Source organism: Homo sapiens, chromosome 6 (genome assembly GCF_000001405.40).
Source record: "Homo sapiens chromosome 6, GRCh38.p14 Primary Assembly".
NCBI classification, from domain to species: Eukaryota; Metazoa; Chordata; class Mammalia; order Primates; family Hominidae; genus Homo; species Homo sapiens.
In genome coordinates, this window is record NC_000006.12 from 54171801 (window position 1) to 54191987 (window position 20187).

Here is a 20187-nt window from a genome sequence, read left to right on the forward strand (position 1 = left end):
TGATTTAATTAATTAATTTATCACTATATATTTCTCTCTTCTCCCATGAAAACTAAAAAGCAACTCTGAGAAGTCTATTTCTGAAACATTTCAATATTTCATCATCTGTCTTCAAACTTTGGAGAAAGTTGTCATCTTCAGAGTATATAACTGCTGGGATTCAGTGCGTCATTGACTTTGTAGATATTCTTAGATTAAACTCAAAAGCAGGGATCGTGCAGGTTACCAACTCCTATACTACAGAGAAGGTTGAATAAAGGGAAGACATAAATTAGAGCCAAGAAAAAAAAGTTTTGTTACACTTGAGGATATCCTGAACAAGTTAGTACTGACTACTGAAAATTCCTATTTCTGAGAGTTCTTTAAAAGTATAATGTATCTGATTACTACACGTTGTATGTCTCAAAACACCACTATGCATCCCATGGATATGTACAATTATTACTTGCCAATTAAAAAATAAAATTTAAAAGGTATAGTATATAATCTATGGATCAAGACTATACTAGTCACTATTTCTAGCTCTGTTATTCAGTTTTCCACCTCTATTCATTGATTCGACAAATATTTATTGAGTGTCTACAGAGTACCATTCACTGAGGAGTCACTGGGGTGCGAAGAGTGAACACAATGACAGTATGCCAATTTCTGAAGCATGTATTCCAATGATAAGACAGATAGTAAACAGTTAAAATAGTAAATGAGAAAGACACTTTATTGTAGAAATAGAGAGGAGGTAGCCAGAGAACCCATTGATGTTAAAACCAACTTACAAATTTGCTAGTTTTCTGTGTATTCATAGGTTTTCCAGTTTTCCTGGGATAATTATAATGGTTTAATAAAATAACAAGAAAGTGTATGGCTAATTCCACTTTATAGGCCTTTGTTGAAAGACTGACTTCTCTGGAAAAAAAAAAAGAAAAAAATAAACAAAGAAAATCAACTCAAAATAATGTTTCTTTCTTTGGGTCTTTATTGCACGTATTGTGACATTTCATACAGTCTGTTTTTTAGGATGAGCCAGGTGCAGTAAAAGCAACACTAATTCAGACTAATTAAAGTAAAGGTTTTCTCCAGTCCGTGGTCTTCTTAAAATGCAGGCTATTTTACAATAATTTAATTGAGATTCTTTTAAGTGTAATAGAATTGAAACTAGGCTAACAATATGTTGAATAGGGAGTGAGCCTTAGGTCACTAGCAGGGTTGGTTAATTTATCATTAATATTTCATTTGATTCTTTTAAAAAGATGCTGAATTCAACAATAATAATAACTAATATTTTGAGCTCTTACCTTGAAAATAAAGCTTGGCTATCTCATTTAAACCATATATCAAAGCTATGAGGTGGGTATTCTTATTTTAAAATCTCCATTATACAGAGTGGGAAAACAAGCCTCAGAAATCACAGAGCAGGCAAAACCCAACCCAGATTTTCTTCATGTCAAAGTTTCTGCCATTTGATACTTCTACATACTTGTAGAAGTATAAGTACATACTGGAAATAGTTTGCATTCTTTAAATATTTTATCCATTCATATTTATAGCCTGGGTCCAAATTATTTCTTCATGCCCAATAACCTTCAGCCTAAACTTAGAAGGAATAATTTCATATTTGGTCATATTAACATCTAAAATGATAGTGATTTGCTGTTTCCAGGGTTTTAAATCATGTGCTTAAATGTACATTAACTCATATCAGATAAGGTATAAGAGTTATTTCTTATGACACTCATTTTTAAACTTTATTTCCTTCGTGTAAATAAATTTCCTTTCTAAGCAAATTTTCATATTTTTATTTTGTGGGTACATAGTAGGTATGTATGGGGTACATGAGATATTTTGATATAGGAATGCAATGCATAATAATTACATCATGGAAAATGGGGTATCTGTCCCCTCAAGCTTTTATCCTTTATGTTACAAATAATCTGATTATACTCTTTTAGTTATTTTAAAATGTACAATTAAATTATTATTGACTATAGTCAATTATTATTGATTGTGCTATCAAATACCAGATCTTGTTAATTCTTTCTATTTTTTTTGTACTCGATAACCATCCCCACCTCCCCACCCCAAAGCAACCCCCACCATTCCCAGCCTCTGGTAACCATTCTTCTGCTCTCTATCTCCATGAGTTCAATTGTTTTGATTTTTGGATCCCACAAATAAGTGAGAACATGTGTTGTTTGTCCTTCTGTGCCTGGCTTATTTCATTTAACATAATGACCTCCAGTTCCATACATGTTGTAGCAAATGACAGGATCTCATTCTTTATAAAGGCTGAATAGTACTCCATTGTGTATAAGTACCATGTTTTCTTTATTCATTCATCTATTGAAGGACACTTAGGTTGCTTCTAAATCTTAGATATTGTGAACAGTGCTGTGGCAAACATGTGAGTGCAGATACCTCTTTAATATACTGATTTTCTTTCTTTTGGGTATATGACCAGCAGTGAAATTGTTGGATCATACATGGTAGCTCTTTCTTTTTCATTTTCTGAGGAACTTCCAAGTTGTTCTTTATAGTGGTCGTACTAATTGGTGGTGTACAGTCCCACCAACAGTATATGAGGGTTCCCTTTTCTCCACATGCTCATAAGCTTTCTTATTGCCTGTCTTTTGGATTAAACCCATTTTAACTGGGGTGAGATAATATCTCATTGTAGTTTTGATTAGCATTTATCTGATGATCAATGATGTTGAGCATCTTTTCATATGCTTGTTTGCCATTTGGATGTTTCCTTTTGAGAAATATCTATTGAAATCTTTTGCCGATTTTAAACTACAATTATAATACTTTATGATAGAGCTGTTTGAGCTCCTTATATATTCTGGTTATTAATCCCTTCTCAGATGGGTAGTTTGCAAATATTTTTTCCCATTCTGTGGATTATCCCTTCACTTTATTGATTGTTTCCTTTGCTGGGTAGAAGCTTTTTAACATGATGTGATCCCATTTGTCCATTTTTGCTTTGATTGCCGGTGCTTGTGGGGTATTACTGGAGAAATTTTTGCCCAGAAGAATGTCCTGGAAAGTTTTTCTGATGTTCTCTTGTAGCAGTCTCATAGTTTGAGGTCTTAGGTTTAAGTATTTAATTCATTCTGATTTGATTTTTACATATGGCAAGATATAGGGGGTCTAGTTTTATTCTTTTGCATATGGACACCCAGCTTCCCCAGCATCATTTATTGAAAAGACTATCTTTTCCTTATGTGTGTTCTTGCCACCTTTGTCAAAAATGAGTTCACTGTAAGTGAGCAAATTTGTTTCTGGGTTCTGTATTCTGTTCCATTGGTCTATGTGTCTGTTTTTATGCCAGTACCATGTTGTTTTGGTTACTATAGCTCTGTAGCAGAATTTGGAGTCAGATAATGACTCCTCCAGTTTTGTTCCTTTTTCTCGGGATAGCTTTGGTGATTCTGGGTCTTTTGTAGTTCCCTATAAATTTTAGGATTGTTTATTCTATTTTTGTGAAGAATGTCATTGGTATTTTGATAGGAATTGCTTTGAATCTGTAGTACTTTGGGTAGTATGGACATTATAACAATATTGATTCTTTAAATCCAAGAACATGGGATGTATTTCATTTTTTGTGTGTCCTCTTCAATTTCTTTCATCAGCATTTTATAGTTTTCATTGTAGAGATTTTTCACTTCTTCGGTTAAGTGAATTCCTAGGTTATTGCTTTTACTTGTGGCTATTAATGTACATGATAGTACTCTTTTGACTTCTTTTTTAGATTGTTCACTATTGGTATGTAGAAATGCTACTGATTTTTGTATGTTGATTTTGTATCCTGCACCTTTACTGAATTCATTGTTCAGTTCTAATAGTTTTTTGGTGGAGTAGTTAGGTTTTTCCAAATATAAGATAATGTCATCTGCAAACAAGGATAATTTGACTTCTTTCTTTCCAATTTAGGTGCCCTTTATTTTTTCTCTTGTCTGACTTCCAGTTATGTATTGAATAACAGTGGTGACAGTGGACATCCTTGTCGTCTTCCAGATCTTAAAAGAAAAGCTTTCAGGTTTTCCTCATTCTGTATGATTCTAGCTGTGGCTCTGTCATATATGGCTTTTATTATGTTTAGATATATTCCTTCTGTGCCCAGTTTTTTGAGAGTTTTTTAATCATGAAGGGATGTTGAATTTTATCAAATGCTTTTTCAGCATCAATGATGATATGGTTTTTGTCATTTATTTTGTTAATATGACATATCACATTGATTGATTTGCATATGTTAAACCATCATTGCATCCCTGGGATAAATCCTACTTGATCATGATGAAGGATCTTTTTAATGCACTGTTGAATTTGTTTTGCTAGCATTTTGTTGAGGATTTTTGCATCAATATTCATCAGAGATATTGGCCTGTGGTTTTCTTAGTTTGACGTATCTTTCTGGCTTTGGTATCAGGGTAATACTGGTCTCATTATAGAATGAGATTTGTAGTATTCCCTTCTCCTTTGTTTGTTTGTTTTTTTGAATAGCTTAAGTAGAATTGGTATTAATTCTTCTTTAAATGTTTCATAAAATTCAGCAGTGAAGCCACTGGGTCCCGGGCTTTGCTTTACTGGGAGACTTTTTATTACAACTTTGATTTCATTAGTTGTTATTGATCTGTTCAGGCATTGGATTTCTTCATGGTTCAGTCTTGATAGGTTGTATGTATCTAGGAATTTATCAATTTCCTCTAGATTTTCCAACATATTGGCATATAGTTGCTCATAGTACCTACTAATAATCCTTTAAATTTCTTTGGTTTTATTCCATGCTCCTGCATAGGAAGAATCAATATTGGGAAAATGGCCATACTGCCCAAAGTAATTTATAGATTCAATGCTATTCCCATTAAACTACCATTGACATTCTTCACAGAATTAGAAAAAAAAACGTAAAAGTTCATATGAAACCAAAAAAGAGCCTGTATAGACAAGACAATCCTAAGCAAAAAGAACAAAGCTGAAGGCATCATGCTACCCTACTTCAAACTATACTACAAGGCTACAGGAACCAAAACAGCATGGTACTAGTACAAAAACAGACACATAGACCAATGGAACAGAACAGAGATCTCAGAAATAAGACCACACATCTACAACTATCTGATCTTCAACAAACCTGACAAAAACAAGCAATGGGGAAAATATTCCCTATTTAATAAAAGGTGCTGGGAAAATTGGCTAGCCGTAAGCAGAAAATTGAAACTGGACCCCTTCCTCACACCTTATACAAAAATTAACTCAAGATGAATTAAAGACTTAAATGTAAAGCCTCTAACTATAAAAACCCTAGAAGAAAATCTAGGCAATACCATTCAGGACTGGCACAGGCAAAGATTTCATGACAAAAACATCAGAAGTAATTTCATCAAAAGCAAAAATTGACAAATGGGATCTAATTAACGAGCTTTTGCACAGCAAAATAAATTATCATCAGAGTGAACAGACAACCTAGAGAATGGGAGAAATTTTTACAATCTATCCATCTGACAAAGGTCTAATATCCAGAATCTACAAGGAACTTAAACAAATTTAAAAGAAAAAAACAAACAACCCCACTAAAAGGTGGACAAAGGACACAAACAGACAATTGTCAAAAGAAGACATTTAGGCAGCCAAGAAACATGAAAAAAAGCTTAACATCACAGATCATTAGAGAAACACAAATCAAAACCGCAATGAGATACCATCTCACACCAGTCAGAATGGGAATTATTAAAAAAGTCAAGAAACAACAGATGCTGGTGAGGCTGTGGAGAAATAGAAATGCTTTTACACTGTTGGTGGGAATGTAAATTACTTCAACCATTGTGGAAGACAGTGTGGTGATTCCTTAGAGACCTAGAACCAGAAATACCATTTCACCCAGCAATCCCATTACTGGGTATATACCCAAAGGAATATAAGTCATTCTGTTATAAAGACATATGCAAGTGTATGTTAATTGCAGCACTATTCACAATAGCAAAAAGATAGAATCAACCCAAATGCCCATCAGTGAGAGACTGGATGAAGAAAATGTGGTACATATACACCATGGAATACTATGTAGCCATATAAAGGAAAAAGATCATGTCTTTTGCGGGAACATGGATGGAGCTGGAAGCCATTAGCCTCAACAAACTAATACAGGAACAGAAAACCAAACACCACATATTCTCACATATAAGTGGGACCTGAACAATAAGAACACATAGACACGGGCAGGGTGGAGGGGAACAACACACATTGGGGCCTCTCGGGAGGGTAGGGAGAGGGAGAGCGTCAGGATAAACAGCTAATGCATGTGGGGCTTAATGCCTAAGTGATGGGTTGATAGGTGTAGAAACCACCAAAGCACACATTTACATGGGGAACTAATCTGCATGTCCTGCACATGTATCTTGAAACTTAAAATAAAATAAAATAATAAAAAAGTACATAAGGAAAAAAATTCTGTAGTTTCAGTTGTAATGTTTTCATTTTCATCTCTGATTTTATTCGTGTTTCTTCCCTTTTTTTCTTTATTAGTCTGCCTAAAGATTTGTCAATTTTCTTTCTTTTCAAAAACCACCTTTTTGTTTCATTGATCTTTTGAATTGCTTTCTTTGTTTCAAATTTATTTATTTCTGCTCTGATATTTATTATTTTTCTTCTACTAATTTTGGGTTTGGTTTGCTCTTGACTTTCTAGTTGTTTAAGGTGTTTTATTAGGTTATTCAAAGTTTGTTTTTTATGTAGGCACTTACAGCTATAAATTTTACTGCTTTGCTATATCCTGTAGGTTTTGGTATTTCGCATTTCCATTATCATTCGTTTAAAGAAATCTTTCAATTTCTTTCTTAATTTCTTCATTGACCCACTGGTCATTCAGGAGCATATTGTTTAATTTCCATGTGTTTGTATAGTTACCAAATTTCATGTTGTTATTGATTTCTAGCTTAATCTCCTGGTGGTCAGAGAAGATGCTTGATATTATTTTAATTTTTTGAATGTTTTAAGACTTGTTTTGTGACCTAACATACGGTCTATCCTTGAGAATGATCCATGTGCTAAGGAGAAGCATGTGTTGAAGCATGTATAGCTGTTGGATAAAATGTTCTGTAAATATCTATTAGGTCTATTTGGTCTATAGTGCAGATTAAGTCTGATGTTTCTCTGTTGATTTTCTGTCTGGGAGATCTGTCCAATACTAAAATTGGGGTGTTGAAGTCTCCAGCTATTATTGCATTGAGGTCTATGTCTCTCTTTAGCTCTAATAGTATTTGCTTTATATATCTGGGTGCTCCAGTGTTGGCTGCATGTAAGTTTGCAATCATTATAGCCTTTTGCTGAACTGACCCTTTTATCATTATATAATGACATTCTTTGTCTCTTCTTACAGTTTTTGTGTTGGTATCTATTGTGTCTGATCTAAGTATAGCTACTTGTGCTCTATTTTGGTTTTCATAGGCATGGAATATATCTTTTTTCCATCCCTTTATTTTCACTCTGTGAGTATGTTTATAGGCTAAGTGTGTTTCCTGTAGGCAACAGGTGATTGGGTTGTTTTTCATCCATTCAGCCACTCTATGACTTTTGATTGGACAGCTTAGTTCTCACACATTGAATGATATTATTGATAAGTAGGGACTTACCCCTGCCCTTTTGTTATTAGTTTTCTGGTTGTTTTGTGGTATCCTCTTTTTTCTTTTCCTTTTTCCTGTCTTTCTTTTCGTGAATGTGATTTTCTCTGGTTGTATGCTTTAATTTTTTGCTTTTTTATTTTTTGTGTATCTGTTGTATGGTTTTTAATTTGAGGTTACCATGAGGCTTGTAAATACTATCTTATTCATTATTTTAAACTGATGACAACACTTGACACTAATTGCATAAACAAACATGCAAAACGAAAACTAATAAAAACCCTACACTTTAACTTCATGTCCCTGCTTTTTAACTTTTTGTTGTTTTTTTATGTCTTATTATACTATGTCTTAGAAAGTTGTAATTATTATTTTTGACTGGTTCATCATTTAGTCTTTCTACTTAAAAGCAGTTTACATACCACAATTACAGTGTTATAATATTCTGTGTTTTTCTGTGTGCCTACTATTACCAGTGAGTTTTGTATCTTCTGATGATTTCTTCCTGCTCATTAACAGTCTTTTCTTTCAAATTGAAGAGCCCTCTTTAGCATTTCTTGTAGACAGGTCTGATGTTAATGAAATCCTTCAGCTTTTGTTTTCTGGGAAGGTCTTTATTTCTCTTTCATGCTTGGAGGATATTTTCACCAGATATACTATTCTTGGGTAAACTTTTTTGTTGTTGTTGTTTGTTTGTTTTTCCTTCAGCACTTTAAATATGCCATGTGACTATCTCCTGGCCTGTAATGTTTCCACTGAAAAGTCTGCTGCCAGACATATTGGAGCTCCATTGTGTGTTATTTGTTTCTTTTCTCTTTCTACTTTTATGATCCTTTCTTTATCCTTTACTTTTGGGAACTTGATTATTAAATGCCTTGAGGTCATCTTCCTTGGGTTAAATCTTCCTGGTGTTCTATAGCCTTCCTGTACTTGAATATTGATATCTTTCTCTAGGTTTGGGAAATTTCTGTTATTGTACCTTTGAACAAACTTTCTACTCCTATCTCCTACCTTTGTTTCTTTCTCTACCTCATCTTCAAGGCCAATAACTCTTTGATTTGCCCTTTTGAGGCTATTTTCTAAATATGGAAGGTGTGCTTCATTGTTTTTTATTCTTTTTTGTCTCCTCTGACTTTGCACATTTTCAAATTACCTGCCTTTGAGCTTATTAATTCTTTCTTCTTCTTGGTCAGTTTTGCTATTAAAGGACTCTGATGCATTCTGCAGTATGCCAATTGCATTTTGCAGCTCCAGTATTTCTGCTTGATTTTGTTTTAATTATTTCAATCTCTTTGTTAAATTTATCTAATGGAATTCTAAATTCCTTCTCTGTGTTATCTTGAATTTCTTTGAGTAGTCTCAACACAGCTATTTTGAATTCTCTGTCTGAGAGGTCACATATCCCTGTTCTTCCATGATTGGTTTCTGGTGCCTTATTTAGTTTGTTTTATGCGGTTATGTTTTTCTGGATGATCTTGATGCTTGTGGATGTTTGTCAGTGTCTCAACATTGAAGAGTTAGGTATTTTTTGTAGTCTAGACAGTCTGGGCTTGCTTATGCCTGTCTTTGAATTATCAGGCAGAGACTTTTGGTTTCTTCCCTTACTTTCTCTCAGAGAAATGAAGTCTCTCTCTCTGTACTGAGCTGCCTGGAACTGGGGGTGAGATGCATGCACCCCTGTGGCAAGTTCCCCCAGGCCCTCCGCGGTTCCACAAATGTTGTCTGGGAGACAGGGTTTAGAGTCAAAAACCTTAGAAATTTAACTGATGTTCTATTTCTCTGAAGCTAAGCTAGCACTCAAGCCACAATACAAAGTTCTTTCTGCTCTTCCCTCCCCTTTCCACAGGCAAAAGAGCCTCTCCCTGTGGCCACCAACACCACCAGCACATGGGCTGGGGCGGTGGTCTGCTGGGCCACCACTGATGTTCACTAAAAGCCCAAGGGCTCTTTAGTCAGCGTGTGGGAAATACTTCCAGGCCAGGGACTCACCCTTCAGGCAATGGGCTCCCTTCTGGCCCAGGGCTGGTCCAGAAATGATGTCTAAGAGCCTATGCCTGGATTCAGGGACCTCAAAAGCCTGTTTGTTGCTCTACCTCCCTGTGATCAAGCTGGTACCTAAGGTGCAAGACAAAGTTCCCTTTACTTTTCCCTATGCTTTTCTCAGACAGAAGGAGTCTGTCACTATAGCCACCACAGCTGAGAACGTGATGGGTCATACCTGAAGTCAGCCCATCTCAGAGCCTAAGGCCCATGGTGTACTACGTGGGTATCATTGCTGGTTATTCACTACCCAACGGCTCTTTAGTCAGCAAGTGATGAGTCCTGCCAGGACTGGTCTTTCCCTTCAAGGCAGCGGGTTCTCTTTTTGCCCAGGATATGCCTAGAAACATCATGAGCCAGGGCCTGTAATGGGGGCATCATAGCTCTGCCTAGTGCTCTATCCAATTGTGGATGAGCTGATCTCCAGGATGTAAGACAAAGTCCTCTTTACTCTTCATTCTCCTCTCCTTAAGCAGAAGCAAGGAGTCACTTTTGTTGCTGCGAGCAGCACTGTCTGGAGTTGGGGAAGAAATAGCACAAGTACTCCCTTTGCCATGCCAGCTGATGTCTCCCTAGGTCATGTACCACCCTAGTCTACTGGCTCTGAGCTCAGTGCAGTACTAGGAGTTGCCTAGGAATTGCAGTCCTTATGTCCTAGACTTTCCTCCGTTTGCCTAGAATCCCAGAGCACTTTTGCCTATGGTGGTGAGCCTTTCCAAGAGAGTCAACTTCCAGCTGCTGGGATGGGCAGTTCCCCTCTGTATAGGCCTACTCCAAATGCTCTCTCCATCTGTGGGCACTGGCTGAGCCCAACATAGTTTTGCTTTCTGCTGTTACAAGGCAGCACTGAGTTCAATGTAATGTCCCCCAGTTGCTGTGCTCTTCCTTTCCCAAGTGCACAGACTCTCTGTGCTGCATGGTCACTACTGGGGAGTAGGGGGAAGGGTGACATTAACAATTCAAGACTGTCTCTCCAACCCCCTTCAATGCCTCTTTCAGCAATATGAAGTTAAAACTAGGTACTATGATTGCTCACCTAATTTGCTTCTTGAGAGGGTGGTTTTCTATGTGTAGATAGTTGCTAAAATGTGGTGTTCCTGCGGGAGGTACGAACACTGTAAGTTTTTATTCTACCATCTTGCTCCACCCCTCAGGGATGAATTATCTATTAACATTCTATTTCATTCTATTTTCATTCTATGAACTTTGTAGAGGGAATTTTTTGTCTTTGCATTATATGTGCCCTTCTAAATGTTTATCATTTTTTACTAACTACCAGTATAAATTCATCACATTTATATAATTCAAAACCATAGTATGCTTTCTTAATAAAGAATAACCTCTGAAAATAGGGTAGTATTTGGTCCTATTACTAATGCATCAAAAAACTCTTAGTTGGAATCACATTCTATTGATAACAACTTATTTTATAAATCCTCTACATTTTATAAATTACTTTTAAGTGCAGAGGAAATATCTGAGATGGAATTATTAAATATTAGATAGCATACAGGTAAGATCTCATTTTAGTGAGCTTGAGAGACAGAAAAATGTCATTACAATGGAAGCATATTCCTTCCAAAATATCAGAGTATATTGAAAAATGTGTCAAACTTTATTAATAATATTTTCCACTATATATACAGATATTCAAATAAAGGTCATCCCAATTTCGCCAGCTCACACACTCTTCTTGTTGTTATGCTTGGAAACGTTGCTATGCTGGAGTGTTTCAGAGGTGATGTGCAATAATGCAGTCATAGATCTTAGGACGAGAGGTGAATTACTCCAAATCAGGTCCAGATCTGCTTCAAGGTAGGATGATGCCAGAGATTTGATGAGTTTTAGGAAGAACTGGCAACAATTTAAGCAAGAAATTCCACTAGACTGATCATTACTTATTTCATTTTATATTTGTTCAGAAATATTTCTGCATTCTGCTAGATGAGGAGGCAGAGAAGAGATTGAATGAGACAAACCTTCTGCTTTGTATCCTTTTCCTTGCCATTTTAGATTTCATCAAATGGGAAGGTGCCTTATTTCAGACAAACTTCTGCTTGATCTGATCTTTTATTTCCCTATTTGTACATATAAACTATGACTTTTACTGATCACCTATGCCCACTTGTTCCGTCTACCAACTATGTTCATGACAAGTTAGAATCATCATTCCCTATCTTAAAGAATCAAACTTAAAAAAATTTCTATATCTACTCTTTATATTAGATATTATGAGGGGCGTATTACTAACTTAGAAATGGTCTTTAGTGAGATATTTAGACAGGGTAAGTTTTTTTTTTTTTTTTTTTTGAGACAGAGTCTCTCTCTGTTACCAGGCTGGAGTGCAGTGGCGCGATCGTGACTCACTGCAACCTCCGACTCTTAGACAGTGTAAGTTCCATCGATAGTAAGAATAAGCAGTTCAAAGTAAGGAAGGCATGATGTGTCATAATTTATCTCATGGCCTTGGCGTCTAACATTTTCAACATGGATTCATTGTTTTGACCAGTGCCTTATGTACAAACAATAAGAACACTCTCCAGGTTAAGAGTAAGACAGAGTCTTTATCATTTTATAATTTTATATGTCCTCAATGCCAAGCTTAGCACTCAGTAATAACTAAGTGCCCAATTCTTATTTTGAGTGTTGTCTTTCTGCTTAGCTGTACATCAGTCTTGAGGGGGAGAAATAACATAATTCAATTAGCACATTATCATGGATTAGAGCTCTTGAACTTTGAGAAAGGAAGATTCAGGACAGTTAGAGTCAACAGAGAAAAAGGGAAAAGAAGCATCTTAACGGTATCAAACCTGACATTATATTCAGGTGGAAGGGACATGACTACTGAAAGGCAAAAAAAGCATGCTAAAAGTAGAGTACCAGAGTACAGAAAGAAAAGGCAACTGTTTAACACTTTTTATCTAATGCAACTTGATTTTTGCCCCAGGCCCCCAAGATGGTGTCTGTTAGAGTGATGCCGACCAAAGGGATACCTGTCATGAATGTGAAATGCTGCAGATTGCAAGGAATGGAAAACCTAGATGATGGATAAGGAGCTTGGCTGTTCTTTGTTTGCCTTTGGCATCAAGTCTTTGGGAGATGAAAAGGTTTCTCCAAAGCTGGCTTTGGGCAAGTGGTGCCTTGTGTAGGAATTTGTCTTTCAATGGATTTCAAATCCTTACCTTTACTTGGTCTTTAACTCTTTTAGTTTCTATATAACTTAATTATTTAATTTATTTTTTTGAAATAAATTTTTTTTACCTTCATAATTTTTTGACTGCTCTATTAGTTTTTTAAGTTTCTTTTTTTGAAGGATGCAGTAATGGCTAAAGCCCATCTCTCTCTTTCTCTCATTATTTTTTCTTATATGATTAAAACAATGTCAAAGGCTGTAGAATATGGATTACGAATTTTTATTTCACACAAGAGCCATTCTTATACTCATCTCAAATGTTACTCTTCCCAGTTGGTGTAAAACTGGAGCGATATGAATGATCAAAATTTTAATGTTGTTCAAATCCAATTTCAAATTTATTTTTAGGTACTTCAAGTTTCTTCTCCACCTTTATTCAGGTGATGCAGGTGTTCAAATGTAGCAACCTTTTCCCATCATCTGCTTAGTTCACCACACAGTATCTCCTCACATTTTGGAAAATAATTGCTACAATATTGATGACATAATTATAGCTATAACTTCTAATAAACAGCATTAACCTGTATTAGACATGCACAGGGTGGCTTCTCAAAGGATTGGATGTAATTGGATTCATTGAAAAAACCTGGTTACTTTAGTGATAAAACATATAAGTCACTATTCTTCCTCTTTGCTAAGGACAAATCTGTAATAGTATTATGCATATCCACTCCACATTGTGGTTTACATTTAATTTTGCACTTTCTCTGGGAAGTTTCTGATAGCAGTGATACGGAGTTCATAATACTGGATGAAATAAAAATGTCTGGGGGTGTCTAAAGCATCTTATTATTATGTCATGATTCCCAATGAAGGAATTTGGGGGATTTATAGAGATTGGATAAAAAGATATTTAGATTTTTTCCTAATTTAATTAATATGTTTGAGCCTTTTCTCTCTTTTCCCCATGATAATAATTTGGAATTATTTAGTACAATATACTAAAAAATATTAGTAATACAAATTGTAAAGTGAAACTTTATTGTTAATATGTAACTTCTTTCCTATAATTATTGAGGTAGAAATTTAGCCTTTTTTTTCAGTTATGATGCATTTAATTCAGCATATTTCACAGAAGCTATTCATTTAACTTAGGGGATCAATAGAGAATGCTTTCATTATTGCAATAAGAAAAAATTGTTAAATGGTATAAAACCTAAGATTTTAGAAGAAATCATTATTATTACCTATATTCCATTATGAGGTTAATAATGAAAACTTAGGTGAACTGACAAAAACACCATGATGGATATTCTGAAGGGTAATTTTCCTAAACCTCAGTGCACACTAACCTGGCCCACAGCAATTAGAGAAGCGGAGCACTTAGCCAAGACACCCTACTGCCATCAAGCAACCAGGAATGGCAGCAAGCAGTGGTACCTGTAAAGAATGACATGAGTCAAAACCCAGAAAACAAACATTGTTAGACACTGTGTACAAAGGACTTCATCATTTGTACACAAAGCCTCATCATTGTTTGGTGATTCATACTCCTATATACTTGGTGATAACATGGAACCATGAGGCTTTCAGTTTTCAGTTATTGTTGATCTCTCAGAGATTAAAACAATAATGATACATCAAAATAAGCTCTGAAATATTTGCAATTTCAAAAATAGAAATATTTTAGGAACATAACTTATTGTATTTTAGCCAAGCATATTTATAATTATTCATCTGTATGCTGACCAGTTCCTGTCAAAATGGAAGGCTAAGCTGGTGTGAAAGTTTAGCCTCCCATGTAAATGCAGAAATGCTCGATAAAACATAAGTAATCCCTGGATGCCATAAATGAAGTGGGACTTCCAAGTTTGTATTAGCCCATTTTCATACTGCTATAAAGAACTGTCTGAGACTGGGTAATTTATAAAGAAAAGAGGTTTAATTGAGTCGCAGTTCTGCATGGCTTGGGAAGCCTCAGGAAACTTATAATCATGGGAGAAAATGAAGGAGAAGCAAGGACTTTCTTCACATGGTGGCGAGAGAGAGAAGTGTAGGCAAGAGCAAACAACCCCTTATAAAAACCATCAGCTTTTGTGAGAACTCACTCTCCATCATGAGATCAGCATGGGGGAACTGCCCTCATGATCCAATCACTTCCCACCAGTTCCTGCCCTCAACATGTGGGGATTATGTGGATTATAATTCAAGATACGATTTGGGTGGGGACACAAAGCCTGACCATATCAAGGTTAGAATACTAAAAAGAACCTAAAGTTCTTGTAGAACATGTGTGCATCAGACCCTAGGTGCCAGGACCCGAGAGCTTAGGTTCTAACTTTCACTGTGTAACAAGTTTAAGACCTATATGGGAATCTATTGCATAATTCTATAACCTACAAGGCCATATTGACCATGAAGCATGAAAAAGAAAAAAGATAATTTAAAAAATAATCCCTACCCTACATTCTTGGGTGATAAGAAAAAGTCACCCATGAGAAAACAGGACTCCAAACCTATGACAGTGTGGGGATTATGTGATAATGTGGGGATCTGCCATCTAGAGATTTAGGAAAATCAGGATGAGGCAATAAAATGGTAACTGGTCCAGAACCTGTGCAACTCCTAAGGCCCCCATGAGGGCAAATGTACTGCAGGGATGGTTTCTAAACCAGGGCTTCTTGGATATCTAAAGAAATCCAAATTACCAAAATTACTCAAAATAGAAAATAAAAAGCACACAAAATAACTAAAGAACATCATGAGGGAGGGACATGACAGAGAATCAGCAAATACAAGCAACATGGTATTTAACGAGGGGGGACTATAACAAATCTGGAAAAATACCATATAAATATATTTAAAACATTAAACATTATAACGTGTTATAGATATTATAAGATAAGCTTTGAAAAAGAACCAAGTAAAACTTCTAGAAGTGAAAAGTCAATTATTAAGACGTTAACTTCAATTGCCATGTTAAACATACTAACATGCAGTTAAAGAAAAATAAGTTAACTATCAGGCTTATATGCAAAAACCATCCAGAATACAGTATAAAGTGACAAAAATATAAAAACGAGTTTGAGATAAATGGGAGAGGATTTCAGAAGGCCCAAAATACAGTCATGCTTTGCTTAACTATAGGGAGATGGTCTGAAAAACACATCACTAGGTGATTTCATCATTATGTGAGCATCAAAGTGTATATACCAAGACCATCCTGGCCAACATGGTGAAACCCCATCTCTAATTAAAAAAATACAAAAAATTAGCCAGGTGTGGCAGCACGCGCCTGTACTCTCAGGTATTCCGGAGGCTGAGCCAGCGGAATCACTTGAAACTGGGAGGCAGAGGTTGCAGTGAGCCGAGATTGCACCACTGCAATCCAGCCTGGTGACAGAGGGAGACTCCGTCTCAAATTAAAAAAATGTATATACATTAACCTAGTTGGTATAGCCCACTAATAGTATTTATGTATCTAAACATAGAAAAGGCATGGTAAAAATACAGTGTAAAAGATAAAAAGTGGTACATCTGTATAGTGCACTTGCCATGAATGGAGCCTGCAGGACTGGAGGTTTCTCTGGGTGAATCAATGAGTTAGTGGTGAGTGAATGTGAAGAACTAAGGTTATTACTGTACACTACTGTAGACTTTTAGCTACATTAAGTTTATGTTTTTCTTTCTTCAACAATAAATTAACCTTAGCTTACTGTAGGTTTTTTATTTTATAAACTTTTTAATTTTTAAAACTTTTTGACTCTTTTGTAGGAACATGTAGCTTGAAACACAAATGCATTTTACAGCTGTCCAAAAATATTTTTTACACTCTTATTCTATAAGTTTTTTCTATTTCAAATTTTTATTTTTTATTTATTATACTCTTTAAGCTTTTTTTGTTAAACACCAAGACACAAACATACACATTAGCTTAGGCCTACACAGAGTCAAGATAATTAAGACGTTACTAGGTGACAGGAATATTTTTGGCTCCACTATAGTCTTATGGGACCCCTGTCATACATGAGGTCCATCATCAACTGAAACATCATTGTGTGGCACATTACTATATATTTAATAGAAGATCAATAACTAGAGCTTAGATATAATGGGAGAAAGGCAGCATTTGAAGAGATAGTCATGTAGGATTTTTCAGAAGATATGCATACTCAGAATAAAAGAACATACCAAGACCCCCAAAACACAAGAAAAAGAAATCTACACCAAGGCACATCATAGTGAAATTACAGAATATCACGGAGGTAAACTTTAAATGTTAATCAAATTTGAAGACAGAAGATCCTCCAAGTTACAACATTTATGCCAACAACAACAAAAGCCAGAGTCTGTGGGACAGCATCTGCAAAAGACAGAAATGCTACTACCCTGGAATTCTGCGTCCAGTTGGACTGTCACTCAAGAATGAGAACATGATAAAAACATTTTCAGACAACATCCAAGACAGTAAGGCCTGAAAAAACCACAAAAACCTTTACTTTAGTAAGAAGGAAACTAGGGAGCAGGGGGAAATGGGAAGTTACTAATCAACATGAAGTTTCAGTTAAACAAGATGAATAAATTCTAGACATTTGCCATACAACATTGCACCTATAGCCAACAATACTGTATTATGCACTTACAAACATGTTCAAATTACAGATTTCATGTTAAATGTTCTTACGACAATAACATTTTTAAAAATGAAAGAAACTAAATCCAGATGAAAGGGTTGAAATATAGGAGCCAATGACAAACAATATTAATCTGCTCTTTAATTTAAACAATTCTAAAAACCAAGTCATTTTTATTCTCAAATCATAAAAACTTTGTTATGCTTTTCTTTTTATATAACAATACTTTAAAGAAATATCTGTTATTTGTTTCAATTTGCTTTAAATAAATAGAAATAGCAACGATGCTGGTATGTTTGATTAAAATGTGAAGAATACAAAGAATGAAATGTTAGGTAACCTTGAAGAAGTTTTGATGTCATGATATAATGCTTATGTTAAGAAAATGAGAAAGAAAAGCAGCATATAAACATCATATTCACTATTATGTAGGCTGAATAAAAATACATAGGAAAAATATTTATGGCTATGTACCAAAAATATTAAAAATCATTTCTTTGGTGGCATAAGGATATTTTTCCTTTTCTTTATACTTTTCAAAATCCTATCATGGACATATAATAATAAACAAACTTCAAAATACTTAAACACATACATATTTTAATAAATTATGAGTTTCACTAATAAATGCCATGTTTATGTTTTGCAGGCAAATCTCTCCTCACCATCTTCTACAGTATCTGAGAGTCAGCTGGTATGTATCTTCTAAGTCACAGATCTACTGCAAATTCTGATCTCTCAAGAGAGCTTTACCTGAGTAAAAGTGAAAAAAAGAATACATTTACTATATATATTTTTATTCACTTACTTGTCTAATAACATTTTACTGATATTTTCCAAAAGCTCCATGGTGGTTGTTTTGCAGGTGACAAACATACGTAAAACTATACATAGACCTTACTTGCTAGTAACTTACATCCAAGTAGAGGCATTAGAAGAGATTGTGAGGTCAGATGAAAGATGCCATTAGAATTTAGAGAAGAGAGCACACTCTTTAAAGGAAGAGATCTAAAAAGAGTTTAAGGAGAAGGTCATGATTGAGTAGGATAGTTTTTGGATTTGAGGAAATAAGAAATAGATATGTCACACAGGAGAATTAGCATGCAAATGGTCTAGATCAGTGCTGAGCAATACAAACACAACGTGAATGACAAATGTAAGCCACATATGTAATTTTAAAACTTCTAGTACCCATATTAAAAAAGTAAAATGGAACAGGTAATGTTAATTTTCATAAAATATTTTATTTAATGTTATATAAATATTATCATTTCAATGGATAAGCAGTATAAAAATTGAGATATTTTTACATTACTTTTTTTGGGAAAAGTCTTTGAACTATTGCATATTTTACATTTACAGCAAATCTCAATTCTGCCTAGTCACAAGAGCTCAACAGTGGGGACTACATTGGGCAGCACAGATCCAGACTCTAAAATCTGTTATTTGAAGATAAAATTTGATTAAATGAGAGAATTATTTTATCTTATAGAGTTTTGTATTTCTTATGCTTACAGTGGTTACCAAATTGAAGTCATGAAATAAGTTTCCGAGATATTACTGGTCAAAGATTTTCTTTTTTTTTTTTTTTTTGAGACGGAGTCTCGCTCTGTCGGCGAGGCTAGAGTGCAGTGGTGCGATCTCGGCTCACTGCAAGCTCCGCCTCCCGGGTTCACGCCATTCTCCTGCCTCAGCCTCCCGAGTAGCTGGGACTACAGGCGCCCGCCACCGAGCCCGGCTAATTTTTTGTATTTTTAGTAGAGATGGGGTTTCACCATTTAAGCCAGGATGGTCTCGATCTCCTGACCTCGTGATCCACCCGCCTCGACCTCCCAAAGTGCTGGGATTACAGGTGTGAGCCATCGCGCCCGGCCAAAGATTTTCTTAATATCTTTGGCTATTTATTGTCTAAAATTGTAAATTCCTGAATAATAGATATCTTCACTAAAATGATGGAAATTTCTAGTAAAACAGTTTGAAACATTAACTGATAATCCCCTTTTAAAGAAATTGTTTTGGTATCCTATAGCCACAGCCAACAAATCATCTTGTCATTATTATCCCAATAAAAATAATTACAATATATTTATTTGTAATACTGAGAAATCATAAAAAGTGTTGTTTGACTTTTAAAATAGCTTGATTCAATCAATCCACTTGGGTATACTGGTGTTTATACATATAGTGTGTATATGGCATGTGTTTGAATATGTGTGTGCATTAGTGTCAATTGGTTTAGAACAGTGTGTGTGTGGGGGGGCAATATAGTATAGTTGAAAGAATCTGGGATGAGTATCAGAAGACCCACCTTATACTTCCTGCTCTGACATTAACTAGTGGTCTGACAGTGGGTAAGTCAAAAGTCCGGGAGTCTGGATTTCAATTTCTTAATTGAAAGTGAGAGCATTCTATTGCGTACTTTCCAAGCCCTTCCAGGGCTGTGAATCTATGGTTACTAACACAGTGAAGTTGAAGGAGTTGCCATGGAAACAAGCACTGCAATAACATAATGAGGTTGAATGACTTCCCACTTTAGATATGGAAATATTACTACAATTATTTTAGTATTTAAAATGATATATTTGTTTATTTAGAGTAATATATGGAAATGAATGTTTTAAACATTCTCATATATAGTTTCACTCAGTATAGTATATAAAATATAGATTTTAGGTGTTGGACTATATATACATGTGTAGGTGTGTATTTTACATACATGTAAGTTCTTGGTTTAATCCTTTAAGAAATTATTTCAAAGTGGCAAATA

The 20187-nt window shown here is 35.2% G+C and overlaps 1 protein-coding gene and 1 long non-coding RNA gene across 19 annotated transcripts in view; one reads left to right on the top strand and one right to left on the bottom strand.

Annotated features, from left to right (window-relative positions):
- MLIP (muscular LMNA interacting protein) overlaps positions 1-20187 on the top strand; it is a 247311-nt gene that overhangs the window by 152831 nt on the left and 74293 nt on the right. For all 18 annotated transcript variants that reach the window (XM_047419509.1, NM_138569.3, XM_024446579.2 and 15 more), the window contains one exon: positions 18070-18114. In XM_047419509.1, the coding sequence (XP_047275465.1) occupies positions 18070-18114 (45 nt within the window). The remainder of the gene's footprint in view (positions 1-18069; positions 18115-20187) is intronic.
- LOC124901335 (uncharacterized) lies at positions 18001-19812 on the bottom strand. Its single transcript, XR_007059622.1, has 2 exons — positions 19729-19812; positions 18001-18173 (listed from the first exon to the last, which is right to left on the bottom strand). It is a non-coding gene; the product is annotated as an uncharacterized LOC124901335 (long non-coding RNA).